Raw genomic sequence first — 13972 nt, forward strand, 5'->3', positions numbered from 1 at the left:
TTGCTGTGTTCCCAGCCTCTGTACAGGGCCTGACACATAGTAGGTGCTCAGCTCTGTCGCCCAGGCTGGAGTGCAGTGGTGCAATCTCGGCTCATTGCAACCTCCGCCTCTCGGCTAATTTGTATTTTTAGTACAGGTGGGGGTTTGCCATGTTGGCCAGGCTGGTCTTGAACTCCCGACCTCAGGTGATCAGCCAACCTGAGCCTCCCAAAGTGCTGGGATTATAGGCGTGAGCCACTGTACCCAGCCTGAATGAATGAATTTAATGACAGGTGTGAAAGGGCCCTATAAATGGTAAGCCCTTCAGCAAATGTTTATTGAGGGCCTACTATGTCAGGGGACCTGTGCTAGAGGCTGGGGCTTGGGCAGGGAACAGGCCGAGAGGCACCCGGCCTCACACAGCTGGCCTTGACGAAGAGATGGAGTAAGCTCAGGGGACCTACAGATGACGAGGGCAGAGGCAAAAGAGGTGTCAGGGAAGAAAGCCATGGTGTCAGAGAGGGCCTCTCTGAGCTGGGTACATGGGAGCTGGATCCAGAAAGCAAAGAAGGAGATCTCTGGGAGGGATCCCAGGTGCCGAAATACAGAGAACAAGGAGGGCCTGGGAAGCCTCTGCTGTTGAAGGGCCTGCGGGCAGGGCTGACTGTGCCACCTGTGGGTCATCCATTCCTGGGCTCTACCCCCATCCCTCCTGCCCCAGCCCCTCCGGGCAGACTTCATGCATCACCAGTTCTTACCACCCTCCAGCTCCCATCTTCCCGGGGGTGTGAGCTCCGTGCCCTCCCTGCTGGCCTTTGCAGAAGTCAGGTGCAGGCATTGCCCCGGGAGGCAATGCCATTCTTCCAGACTTGCCCCAGTGGAGTCGCACACTCTGCTCTTTGTCCTCACTGTCCCCAAAGCTGCCAACCGCGGTTCGGGTCCACCCTCTGCCACTTCTGGTTGGTAGTTTCCAGCTTCAATTCATTTATCCACCACTGCAGGTGCTCCCGGGTCCTCTGTGCCTGGAGGGAGCCTCTTTCTCCTGGACTCTCTCCTTACCCCATCCTGCCGCTGCCATCAGGGGCATCCACAGCGAACCAGGGGCTCCCAGGGCTGCTTTAGCAATGCAAACGCAGCAGCTGCTCTGGCCTCCGGGTTCTCTTTCCCTTCCAGCCCAGGCTCTCACATCAGCCGTTCTCCCCAGGTACAGAGGGTGTGTGGGCAGCAGAAAGCTTCTGCTGTGTGTCAGGCACCCAACTGGTGCTTCAGAAGTGCTCTCCTGCAGATCTCCTGATGTCAGGAGTTTGAGACCAGCCTGGCCAACATGGTGAAACCCAGTCTCTACTAAAAATACAAAATTAGCCAGGCGTGGTATCGCACGTCTGTAATCCCAGCTACTTGGGAGGCTGAGGCAGGAGAATCACTTGAATCTGAGAGGCGGAGGTGCAGTGAGTCAAGGTCGCACCATTGTACTCCAGCCTAGGCAAAGAGTAAAACTCCATCTCAAAAAAAAAAAAAAAAAAAAGTGCTCTCCTTCCATGTTCACTTAGTGGGCAGGGTCTACCCTCCTTATCCCATTTCCAGAGGAGGAAACTGAGGCTCAGAGAGGATCCAAACCTGACAAGAGGGCTTGCTTTCACCCTGTTGGCACTTAGCCTAGTGATGGCACACACGAGACACTTTGCAGACATTCCTGGAAGCACAGGCAGGGTGGTGAGAGGAGGAAGAGGAAGGCAGGAGTCACTGAGGCCATCCTGGAGGGGAGGGAGCAGGGACCAGAACTCAAGCCCAGGGCTCTGAGCTTTGTCCCCTCCTTTACTAATACTGTGATCCAGTTTCTACGGTCCGGTCCCATCTTTGTAGGGCAGGAGCTGACGTTGCTCAGCAAATGGGGGGCTCAAGGTTAAGATCTCGCCTGGCCCCGTTCTGTTCCTTGCCTACTGTGTTTCGTGTACACAGAGGGCACTTGTGTGGGTCACTCCTGTAAGCCTGGGTGGGGGTCCGCAGGCGGGGGGAGTCCCTTGTCACCTGTGCCTGAAGCCCAGTTTCTGTGTCCACGCCCCAGCTCCTCCCCTGGCCTCATTTCGAGTGCCTGGGGACTGCTCGGTAGTGAACAAATCGAGAGATACCCTACTTGCTATCATCATGGGAAAAGCCGAAGCAGGGAGGGAGGGCATATATTGAGGGCGAGAGTCGGGGGCGTGCAAGAAAGGCCCAGGCCGGGCACATGGCAGGTGCATACTCGTGCTGGCTTGGGGAGGGAGGCAGCCTGAAGCCAGTGGGTCTCCATCCTAACCCTGGGCTCATGAAAGCTGAAGGAAGTGTTTCCCACCCATCTCGGGTCTTCTTGGCTCAGCTCATCCCTCTGGCTGGGCTGGAGTCAAGGCGGAGCACAGAGCCCTCCTGGACTTCACAGTGGTACCCAAGGCCTGCGACTCACTTCACCCTGAAGCTCATTAACAGGGCAAGGTCAAAGTAGGACCATTCGCGCCAGTGTCAGACCCATGGGAAGGAGGGGAGCCAGCATCGTGGCTGAGGCCCTGACCCAGACGTTGGCTCACAGAAGGCAGGAAATGCAGCCCCTGGGGCTCCCGGGGGTGAAAGGCGCCAAGCTCATGCTTTTTTCGTACCTCAGAGCCTTCTTGGAAAAGCGATGACATCCCCAGCCTCAAGACAAGGATGGGAAACTAAGGCACGGGCTCCAGACCCAGGCCTGCCACTTGCTCTGGCTCAGGCACGCTCTGACCTTCAGCTTCCTCGCCTGCTCTTCCAGTCCACAGCTCACCTGACACCTGCGGGGCAGGCGCAGATCCAAATACCCCCCGGCTCGCGCCTCACCCCCCGAGGGAGCAGAGCAAACCACTTGCGCGAGTCCCTTTGGGTCCGCTTCCAGCCTTTCATCTGCTTTGCTCACCACTTCCCTGAGGCCACCCTGATCCCGGCTCCTGTCATCTCTGCCTGGACTTTGCAGTAGCTCCTCACTGGGTGTCCCTCACTCAGACAGAGGGTCCATCAGAATCTAGGTCTGATCTCACCCCCTTCCTTGTATCACATAGAGTAAGGGCTAAAGTCCTTTCAATGCCCCCTACCTGGCTGCATCTCCTTCCACTTCCCATCCGTCTACTCTCTGTGAGCTCAGGCTACACCAGCCACATGGGCCCCCATGCAGCTCCTGGGACACCCCATGCCCGCTTCTGCCTCAGAGCACCTGCATCCACTATTCTCCCACTGGCACGCCCAGCCCTGATGTGCACCTGCCTCCCTCATTCCAGGTGCTTCTCCATTCCCATGCCGACCTCCCTTCACATTGCTGAGTTTCCCCCAATAATTATCCCATCTGATATATACGACCTACTCACTGGGTGGTGCATCGTCGGTCTCGCCTCAACAGGAATGCCAATTTAATGAAAACAGATTTCCTTTCTTTTCTTTTTCCTTTTTTTTTGAGACAGAGTCTCACTCTGTCGCCCAGGCTGGAGTGCAGTGGTGCCATCTCGGCTCACTGCAACCTCCACCTCCCAGGTTTAGGTGATTCTCTTGCCTCAGGCTTCTAAGTAACTGGGACTACAGGCGTGTGACCACCACACCCGGCTAATTTTTTGTATCTTTAGTAGAGACAGGGTTTCACTGTGTTAGCCAGGATGGTCTCGGTCTCCTGACCTTGTGATCTGCCTGCCTCGGCCTCCCAAAGTGCTGGGATTACAGGCATGAGCCACCGCACCCGGACCTTCCTCTTTTTTTTTTTTTTTTTAGATGGAGTCTCGCTGTGTTGCCCAGGGGCTGGAGTGCAGTGGCGCCATCTCAACTCACTAAAATCTCTGCCTCCTGGGTTCAAGCTATTCTCCTGCCTCAGCCTCCTGAGTAGCTGGGATGACAAGCATGTGCCACAATACCCAGCTAGTTTTTGTATTTTTAGTAGAGATGGGGTTTTGCTATGTTGGCCAAGCTAGTCTTGAACTCCTGGCCTCAAGTGATCCGCCTGTCTCGGCCTCCCAAAGTGCCAGGATTACAAGCATAAGCCACCGCACCCAGCCTTTTATTTATTTTTCTTGAGACTGTCGCCCAGGCTGGAGTGCACTGGTGTGATCTCAGCTCACTGCAACCTCCACCTCCCGGGTTCAAGCAATTCTCCCACTTCAGCCTCCCAAGTAGCTGGGATTACAGGCGCCTACCACCACACCTGGCTAATGTTTTTGTATTTTTAGTAGAGATGGGGTTTCACCACGGGGGTCAGGCTGGTCTCAAACTTTCTTTCTTTTTTGAGATGGTCTCCCTCTGTCGCTCAGGCTGGAGTGCAGTGGTGTGATCACAGCTCACTGCAGCTTTGACCTCCTGGGCTCAAGCGATCCTTCCACCTCAGCCTTCCAAGTAGCCCAGGACCACAGGTGCATGCTACCATGACTGGCTAATTTTTTAAAATGTTTTGTAGAGATGGGGTCTCTCTCTGTTACCCACGCTGATATTGAACTCCTAAGCTCAGGAAATCCTCCTGCCTCAGTCTTCTAAAGTGCTGGAATTACAGGTGTGAGCCACCATACCTGGCAGACAGATTTCTCTTTTTTTTTTTTTTTTTTTTTTGAGACTTAGTCTTGCTTTGTCACCCAGGCTGAAGTGCAGTAGTGTAATCTCACTACAACCTCCGCCTCGCAGGTTCAAGCAATTCTCCTGCCTCAGCCTCTGGGATTACAGGCACCTGCCAATGCACCCAGCTAATTTTTGTATTTTTAGTAGAGATGGGATTTTGCCATGTTGGCCAGGCTGGTCTCGAACTCCTGACCTCAAGTGATCCACCCACCTCGGCCTCCCAAAGTGCTGGTATTACAGGCATGAGCCACCGTGCTCAGCCTCAGATAGAGATTTCTTGATTTCAGTTTGGTCATTGCTGTATCCCTGGTGCCTAGAACAGGGCCTGGAATGTAGGTTTTCAGTGTTTGTTGAATGAATGAACACATAAATTCCCGTGGAAGAGAGCTCTTCTCTGGGTGTGGGTAGGGTCTTGGCCTTCAGATGCAGGGGCTGAGCCTTTTTTGACCCAGGGAGACCCCAATGATGGTGCCAGTGTTCACGCCTCACACCCAGGGCTGTTGCTGACTCAGCTGCCCCCAGGCTTGGCCCCGAAGGTCCCCGGAGGGTGGAGCAGTAGCCTGAGCTGCTAACAGCAGCCTCTGACGAGCCCTGACCCATCAGCTTTGCACCCCTGAGCCTGGGAGAACCTGGTACCCGCTGGGCACTGCATCCTTTCACTCAGCATGCTGTCTGAGCACCACCATGTGCTGGGCAAGGAGCCCCTGAACAAGACTGCCTCGGCCTCTGGCCTCCTGGCACTTGCTGCCAGGCAGGGAGGGTGGGCCAGCATCGAACAGGAATCCATAGGGCTGGGTGATGATGAGCATGAGGGGAGCCCCAGCAGAGAGGTTCCCTCCCCAGGCAGGTGCCACCCACAGTGTGAGCAGGAGCCGTCCAGGTGAGGAAATGGACCAAGCCACCCCATCCTGCACTCTAGCCCTGACTGCAGTACACTTACTATGCGACCCTGGGCAAATCACAACGTCTCTGAGCCTGACCTTCCAGAGCTGTGAAATGGGAAAAAACCTCGTCATGGAGCTATGCTGGAGGGTGTTTGGGAGGGTGTGTGGGAGGGTGTGTGGGAGGGTTGCTGGAGGGCGTGCGAGAGGGCGAGTGGGAGGGTGTGTGGGAGAGCACCTGTGTGAGTGGCTGGTAGCCCCTTCATCCCTTCCAGCCTGCTGGGATCAAGAAAACCTGAGCAGGGATTCCCTAATCTGGGGAGCTAGAAATGGTAGGCAGGAGGGCCTGCAGCCTCTCCCAGGTTCTCAGAGGGACATGGGACCTGGGAAAGCCTGCAGAGCCCTGGTTTCTTGCAACAAGATCAAAAGGCACCCCATGGCAGCACAGGGAGTGGCACAGGAGGGATGCCCCCAGCCCTGGTGCAAGGGGCCACGAGGGCCACCTGTTACAGATGTGGATGTGCCCTCACCAGGGCCCACCAAACGCCCTGCAGAGGGCAGGCGGGCAGCCGGTGGCGTGTCGGGTGGAGGGGCTGCATGGCTGTGAGCACTGATCCCGTACCTTGTTCCAGAGCAGCAGGGCCGTGCCCACTACACTCAGGACACTCAGGAGGCCGGTGAAGCCAAAGAGCAGGAGCTTCTGTGGACTCTGCGGGGGCTCTCGGTACCCTGCGTCTAGGAGGAAGCGCAGGGGAGCAGAGGGGTCAGTGACCCAGGAGAAAGCGGGGCACACACACCTGATGTTCTCCCTCACTCAGGACCCTGTTTTCAATGCTACCCCGCCAACACGCTCCACACCCCACTAGGCCCCCTGGGAGCCAGGGTTCGGGCCTTCATTGTCCCCTCACTCCTTTTCATGCTCACTGCCTTGCTTCTCTGTAAGGACAGGGGCCATTTGCTCTTCCGGTGCCCCTGCCCCCGTGACCTGGCTCCCCTGTGGGCTGCTTGTAGGGCCCTGAGCGAGATGTCTCCCCTCTCGGGGCCTCTTCTTTTCCCTGTGTGAGGTGGTGATAATACGGGTGGATGTGGCTAGGGCTGAAGGAGGCGGATTTATCCTGGGACTGACAGGGGGCTGCACCCAGGCTAGGTGAGGCCCAGCCCTCCTACCCCATGCCATCCCCAGTCCCTCCTGCTGGCATCCAGTCCTCCTTCCCCTCACCCCATCCATCCATCCGACTGGCAAAAACACACGGAGTGCCAACCACATGCCAGGCACATGAGCATGATTTCCCCAGCACTGCCTATTGTCAGCCACCAGCCCATATGGGCACCATCTCCTTCAACCTCATCCAAGTCCTTGGAAGGCAGAGGATCGCCATGAAGACCAGGCCCAAGATCACATCGGGCAAGCAGCAGGACAGAGGTTCAAACCCAGGTCTATGGGATTCCGAAGCCCCCAGCTCCTTCCAGGGGATCGCAGAGGTAGGTCAGAGAATCAGGGCTTTGGTGATGGGCTCACTCATAACTTTTGGGATCATCACTCCTTTGAGAATGTGATGAAAACTGGCTGGGTGTGCTGGCTCATGCCTGTAATCCCAACACTCTTGGAGGCTGAGGTGGGCGGATCACTTGAGGTCAGGATTCGAGACCAGCCTGGCCAACATGGCGAAATCTTGTCTCTATTAAAAATACAAAAAGTAGCCAGGTGTGGTGGTGGACATCTGTAATCCCAGGTACTTGGGAGGCTGAGGCATGAGAATCGCTTGAACCCAGGAGGCAGAGATTGCAGTGAGCCAAGATTGGGCCAGTGCACTTCAGCCTGGGTGACAGAGCGAGACTCTGTCTCAAAAAAAAAAAAAAAGAGAGAGCATGATGAAAACTAAAGATCTGTCTCTGGAAAGGTGTATTATACATGAGCCAAGTGCTCACATACACGAGGCCCCCACAAATACATACATGCACATACCTAGTTCTGCAGAAGTTCCCCCACCATGATGCCCATGGCACACTGAGACCAAGGGCCCAAGGGAGCTCTTTTAGGTCACCTGCCAGCGGCGTTCAGGAGCAGATCTGCATGCCCGGCCCTGCCCTTTCCACACCCAGATGGAGCCCTGGCACAGCCGTAGGCCGGGGCTCCCTGAAGTGGGTCTGCCTGCTTTGCCAATGCTGGTAGACAAGGCAAACCATTCTCTATTTCTTTTCTTTTCTTTTTTTTTTTTTTTTTTTTTTGAGATGGAGTTTTGCTCTTGTCACCCAGGCTGGAGTGCAATGGTGCGATCTAGGCTCACTGCAACTTCCCATCCTGGGTTCAAGAAATTCTTATGCCTCAGCCTCCTGAGTAGCTGGGATTACAGGCACCTGCCACCATGCCCAGCTAATTTTTGTGTTTTTAGTAGAGACGGGGTTTCACCATGTTGGCCAGGCTGGTCTCGAATCCCTGACCTCAGGTGATCCACCCGCCTCAGCCTCCCAAAGTGCTGGGATGTGTGAGCCACTGCGCCTGGCCCCATTCTCTATTTCCGATCCAAAGTCCCAAACTGCCATTTGAAACCTCTGTGTCCTTTGCCCTGGAAGAGCCACAGAGGAAGCCTTACCTCTGACCAGGATGAAGGTGCCGCTGCCTCTCACCGTGGAGTGTGGCCAGTGGACAGAGCAGTAGTAGGTGCCAGTGGCCGATGCTCCCGGCAGCACAAGGGTGACCTGGCAGTCCAGGGTGTGGCTCTGGTTCTCTGTGCCCAGTCCAGGGTGGCAGTTTGTTGGCTTCTTAGGGCTCCTCTGTCCCTGGAGATCTTCATGAAAGTAGCTGACTGTGAAAACCTTGAATTGGGGAGTGTATGGATAGGTGATCCTGCAGCTGAAGGAGATAGCTGTGTTGGCCAGGGAGGCCATGATGGGCAGGCCGGTGTGGGTCACTGACTGTCCTCCTGGAGGGGAAGCAAAGGGAGAGAGCAACAGGTCACTTGAGGCTGCCTCAGTCCCACCCACTTGCCTGTTAAGGCTCACGACCGGGTGCGGTGGCTCACACCTGTAATTCCAACACTTTGGGAGGCCGAGGCAGGCGGATCACTGGAGGTCAGGAGTTCAAGACTAGCCTGGCCAACATGGTGAAACCCCGTCTCTACTAAAAATACAAAAATTAGCCAGGCTAACTTTTTTATGCCCATAACCCCAGCACTTTGGGAGGCTAAGGTGGGCCGATCACCTGAGGTCAGGAGTTTGAGACCAGCCTGGCCAACATGGCAAAACCTGTCTCTATTAAAAATACAAAGATTAGCCAGGTGTGGTAGTGTATGCCTGTAATCCCAGCTACTCGGGAGACTGACGCAGGAGAATCGCTTGAACCTGGGAGGCTGAGGTTGCAGTGAGCAGAGATCATGCCACTGCACTCTAGCCTGGGCGACAAGAGCAAGAGTCCGTCTCAGAAAAAAAAAAAAGAAAGACAAGTCTCGTGCATCGTGTGAGCTTACCTCTGCAGGTGCAGCCCCTACCTCTCCTGCACTTGCTGTGTGCCGGAGTTGTGCCAAGCATATTACGCACACCACTCTACCTCTCCTAATATACCCCAAGGCAAAGTGAGAGCCCCTGTTTTATGAAGAAGAAGAGTCTGAGGGTCAGGGAGTTGAAGCACTTAGCTCCAGATTCCTCAGCAGGTAGAGAGTGGAGCTACAACCCCATCCAGGGCTGGGGAACACCAGAGCCTGCGCTCCCAACCCCTCTTCTTCCCAAAGGCCAAGAGGCCACCTGGGATCAAAGCACAGGCCTGAGAAGAGAGAAAGCTGGTGATGGATGAGAAATAAAGAAGGAGGCAGGAAAACAAAATAAAGAAACCCAAGCGTTTCCTGGCGGTAGACAGAGAGGGAGGCAGGTCTGCCCACAGTTCTCCCCGTGCCAAAGTAAGGAGGCATTCAGGCAGCGGGAGACACAAACCTCTCCCGGACTCTGGGCTCGGAGAGGATTTGTCAGGTTTTTTACAGTATAACAGGCAACATCCTGAGAGCAGTTTTTCCAACAACGCAGAGGTGCTCCACGTGGGGCCATTTCGGCTGTGATCATGATGTCAATGACCATGACAAAGCCAGTTTTGTAGGAGCCACCCCTCCCCCCACTCATCAGAGGCACCTCAGAAAACAGTTTGAAAATTCCCAAAGCAGCAGCCCTGCCTGGGGGGCTCTAACCCCTGCTGCAGGCCTCTGAGATGCTGTTTGGATCCTGGGCTGGGGGCAGCAGCCGCCCCCTGCCCCAGACTTCAGCTGCACAGGCCCCTCGGCTTTAGCGCTCCTGGGTTCTCCAGGCCCCTCCTTCTCCAGCAGCTGAGCAGCAGACAGTTCTAAATTGAGGTCGGCAGCCAGCAGCCAAGAACATGCAGGCCGGATTGTTAATCGGGAGAAGATCGTGTCTTTGAGATGCTCAGAGGAGCCGCAAGATTTATTTTATTGGGGAAAGAGAGGTGTGGGCCCTGCCTGTGGTGTGGGGCTGGAGGGAGGCCAGGCTCATCTCTTCCCAGGTCTCTTCAGTTCAGCTCTGAGCCAGAGCTCTGGGAAGGGGGTCCCAAAGGGAGGCCAGCCTTCTGGAAGATGCGGGAACAGAGATGGAGTTGGCCCTGTGCGTCAGTTAATCCCTCAAAATTCTGGCAATGCTGATATTTTGAGCTTCCTGTTGAGCCACTAAAGAGACACCCCCAGGCTGGGCAGGGTGGCTCATGCCTGTAATCCTAGCACTTTGGGAGGCCGAGGCGGGTGGATTGCTTGAGGCCTGGAGTTCGAGACCAGCCTGGCTAACATGGTGAAACCCCGCCTCTACTAAAAATACAAAAAAAGAAAAAAAAATCAGGAGCCGCGGTGGCTCAGGCCTGTTGTCCTGTCACATAAGAAGGCAAGGCCAGGCATTTGAGACCAGCCTGGACAACACAGAAAGCCCTCATCTATATAACAACAATAATAACAACAACAACAAAAATTTGGCCAGGGCTGTTGGCTCATGCCCGTAATCCCAGCACTTTGGGAAGCCAAGGTGGGCAGATCTCTTGAGGTCAGGAGTTCAAGATCAGTTTGGCCAACATGGCAAAACCCCGTCTCTACTAAAAATAAAAATATTAGCCAGGTGTGGTGGTGGGCACCTGTAATCCCAGCTACTCAGGAGGCTGAGGCAGGAAAATCGCTTGAATCTGGGAGGTGGAGGTTGCAGTGAGCCAAGATCGCGCCACTGCACTCCAGCCTGAATGACAGAGCAAGACTTCGTCTCAAAAAAAACAAAAAGAAGAAAGAAAGAAAAAGAGAGACACACCCTCCCTCAAAGAACTAAAGGCACTCACAGTTCCAGGGAATCGACTCACATGTCGGCAGTCACAGTGGGTTCGACTTGTAATTGACATAACGACACTCGCTTGTGAAATGTCATTCCAGGGAGCTGGCACCCGGGCCCCCTCCAGGGCTCCCCTCTGGTGGACGGAGCAGGGGGGATTTTACCCTGGACTTTGTATCTCCGGACTCTACTGCAGGATTGCTGCTGTTTAATGATAACATTACATTCATTTTGTCATAAAACTAAGAGCCTTGCTTCAGGGCACGGACTTATCCGAGATGGGACAGGGGCAGGGTAGGCATATAGAGATGGGGGCTGTTATATTGTCCCCCAGGGACCCAGGTGGGCTGGGATGGTGGCGCGTGTCTGTAATCCCAGCTACTCAGGAGCCAAAGCAGAAGGACCTCTTGAAGCCAGGAGTTCAAGGCCAGCCTGGGCATCAAATTTTTTTTTTTTTAAATTAAAAAAATTTTTTTTTAGAGACAAGAGGGGTAGAGTGAACCACAAATGACATCACCACCGACCCTGCCCAGCAGCCCTGCACAGCACTCACAGGCCACTGCCCCCTCTGTGTACCTACCCTGTGGCCCCCTCGACCTGTGACCTCCATATCCTCACCCGGGGCCTCCTGCTCCTCCTCACAGTGTATCTAAGAGGCCACTCCAGGGGGAGGGCAGATACACTGTCAGCACCATGAAACCTTCCTGCTTGTCCTGGGCAGGAAGACTTCAGACCAATTTCTTTAAAAATTCTCCCTGTCTGAGGTATCCTTCTAGAAAATGATGAACTCTGCTACTGCAATTAAGCCGATCTTTACAATTCCAGGGAAATCTATAAAAACAGACGTCCGTTGTTCTATATTCTTTTGGGATTCATTTCTTTAAGGTCACCGAGTTAGGCTCATGACAATGCACTGCTCTGGCTTAGATCAGCCACAGCGAGGAGAGGCTTCGAAACGAGAACCTCAGACCTCTGATGAAACTGCTGTGTCCAAAAAGTAAAGAGAGGAAGCCGTCTCTGACGAGCTCAGTCAATAACAACGTCCAGTCTGGAGACGTCAGGCCAAAAAACCCGGGGGAGGAGAGGAGGTCCGCAGTTACAGCCAAGACCTCTGGGTTCTGGCCTGCGAATGTAGCTCACCACCTCCCCTGCACCTACACCTTCCTTTCTTTCTTTCTTTCTTTTTTTTTTTTTTTTTTTTTTTGAGATGGAGTCTCGCTCTGTCGCCCAGGCTGGAGTGCGATGGCGCGATCTCAGCTCACTGCAAACTCTACCTCCTGGGTTCACGCCATTCTCCTGCCTCAGCCTTCCGAGCAGCTGGGACCACAGGCACCCGCCACCATGCCTGGCTAATTTTTTGTATTTTTAGTAGAGACGGGGTTTCACCGTGTTAGCCAGAATGGTCTCAATCTCCTGACCTCGTGATCTGCCCACCTCGGCCTCCCAAAGTGCTGGGATTACAGGCGTGAGCCACCGCGCCCGGCCTGCACCTTCCTTTCAATGGGGCATCAGCACCCCAGAGCTGGAATCCTGCAACTGCCCAGCTCCCACCCCATCTCCTGGACCCGTGCCTCCCAGAGGCCCCTTCAGGGGTGTAGGCTGTAGAGGTCTAGGCCCTAGTTGGCTGCCAACTAGAAGCGGTCCCCCGTGAAGGCACAGTGCTGATAGGTTTCACGGTCATTTCCAAGTCCACAAATTCTTTTCAGCTGTCATTTGTTTGTGCCTCCCACAAACATTGAAGGGGTACCAGTTAGGTCACAGGCCCTGTCCCAGACCAGGAGGGGCTCCCTGCCGTGGCAACATCCCCAGTCCAAAAGGGAAGGAGCAGAAAGAGCCTGAGGCAGAAGGGCTGGTATGGGGAGCATTGAGTTTGCCTGGGATGAGGTTGGGGTGCAGGGTTTGTGGCCCGGGGGTCTAGAGGGTGTCCATGACCCAGAAGTAGGAACCCACAGACAGAAGGAAAAGAAAAATTACAGGAATTGTATCCTGGCTTGGTGTGACACAGGTCCTATGTCAATTAAACACCACGACGATCCTAGGCGGCAACTATTGCAACCGCGTTCTGGAGCGGGTCTAGCTAGGAGTGGTGGCACACGCCTGTAGTTCCAGCTACTCAGGAAGTCGAAGCAGGAGGATCGCTTGAGCCCAGGAGTTTGAGACCAGCCTGAGCACATAGTGAAATCCCATCTCAAAACCAAAACCAAAAAGCAGAGGATCTTAAAGGCCCAAAACCACAGAGATCATGAGTGGTGGGGCCAGGCTTCGGACCCCAGTTGGTCTGGCTGTGTTGAGGAAGAAGAGCCAGCACCCAGGCTGGGAAGCTGTCATCAGATATGGCAGGGGGTGCTCACATTGGCACTGGGCACAGTAGCCATCAGATGCTAATAAGAGGTTTGTCAGAACCCTGGTGGGCCTCACAAATTTTCACCACCAGATGGCCAACAAGTGGCTACTTGGCTCCAGGATCACATGGAGACCACGGGGTCACAGAAGGTGGGTGTAGAGGGGGCTGGGGAGAGCTGCAGGGCATCCGGCCTGCCCCGGGGGTGCCTGCTTCTCACCCCAGGCTGAGAGGGGCTTTAGCGGGACCCTGGCTGAACTTGAGCAGTATTCCCTGAGTGAGGGCACTCGGCCGCTATCTATCTCATGCCAGGGCGTGGTGTGGCTGCATCATGCTTTGTCCCTTTTCTGGCAAAGGCAGTATGTCCCCATGGGATAACGTGGTCCGGGGCAGTGAGCTGGCTGAGTGTCCTTCTAGACTGGCTCATGCAGCTGCCTAGAGGGGCCCACGGCCTGGAGAGGAAGACCAGGGTGGATACCAGACGCCGGGGGCTGAGGAGGGAGTGAGAGCCACAGAATTCCAGTTAGCAATCCCCCACTTCCGTGGGGGCCCCAACGGACTCCACGCAACACCGCAAGCACGCAGAGCCCAGGGCCAGCCTCCCCCGCACCTGACAAGGCAGGTCTTTTCTGCCTCCACCCAGGTTGACCGGTGGGGACGGACAAGGAAGGGGTCTGGGTGGGAAAGAGAAGAGGCACCTCGCCCCTCACCCTCACACAGGCTTCAGGTGGCCTGGGGAACCACTTCAGCTTTAGAGTTTGAAGTTTTGTCTGTTACACAGGGTTAGAGATGTGAAGAACTGGGACGCATTTGTGACTTTCGGTGACCATAGAACTTTGACTTAGAGTGACCAGAGGAGCTGAGTTTTGCCAGGAGAAATCCCCCA

General features: G+C 55.0%; 1 protein-coding gene across 3 annotated transcripts in view; it reads right to left on the reverse strand.

Annotated features, from left to right (window-relative positions):
* Positions 1-13972, reverse strand: part of NFAM1 (NFAT activating protein with ITAM motif 1) — a 57580-nt gene that overhangs the window by 22962 nt on the left and 20646 nt on the right. For 2 of the 3 annotated variants that reach the window (NM_001371362.1, NM_145912.8), the window contains 2 exons: positions 8039-8368; positions 6067-6179 (listed from right to left, as the gene is read on the reverse strand). In NM_001371362.1, coding sequence (NP_001358291.1) covers positions 6067-6179; positions 8039-8333 — 408 coding nt within the window. In that variant the 5' untranslated portion in view covers positions 8334-8368. The remainder of the gene's footprint in view (positions 1-6066; positions 6180-8038; positions 8369-13972) is intronic. The other variant, NM_001318323.3, reaches the window with a different exon arrangement.

This window comes from Homo sapiens, chromosome 22, assembly GCF_000001405.40.
Source record: "Homo sapiens chromosome 22, GRCh38.p14 Primary Assembly".
NCBI classification, from domain to species: domain Eukaryota; kingdom Metazoa; phylum Chordata; class Mammalia; order Primates; family Hominidae; genus Homo; species Homo sapiens.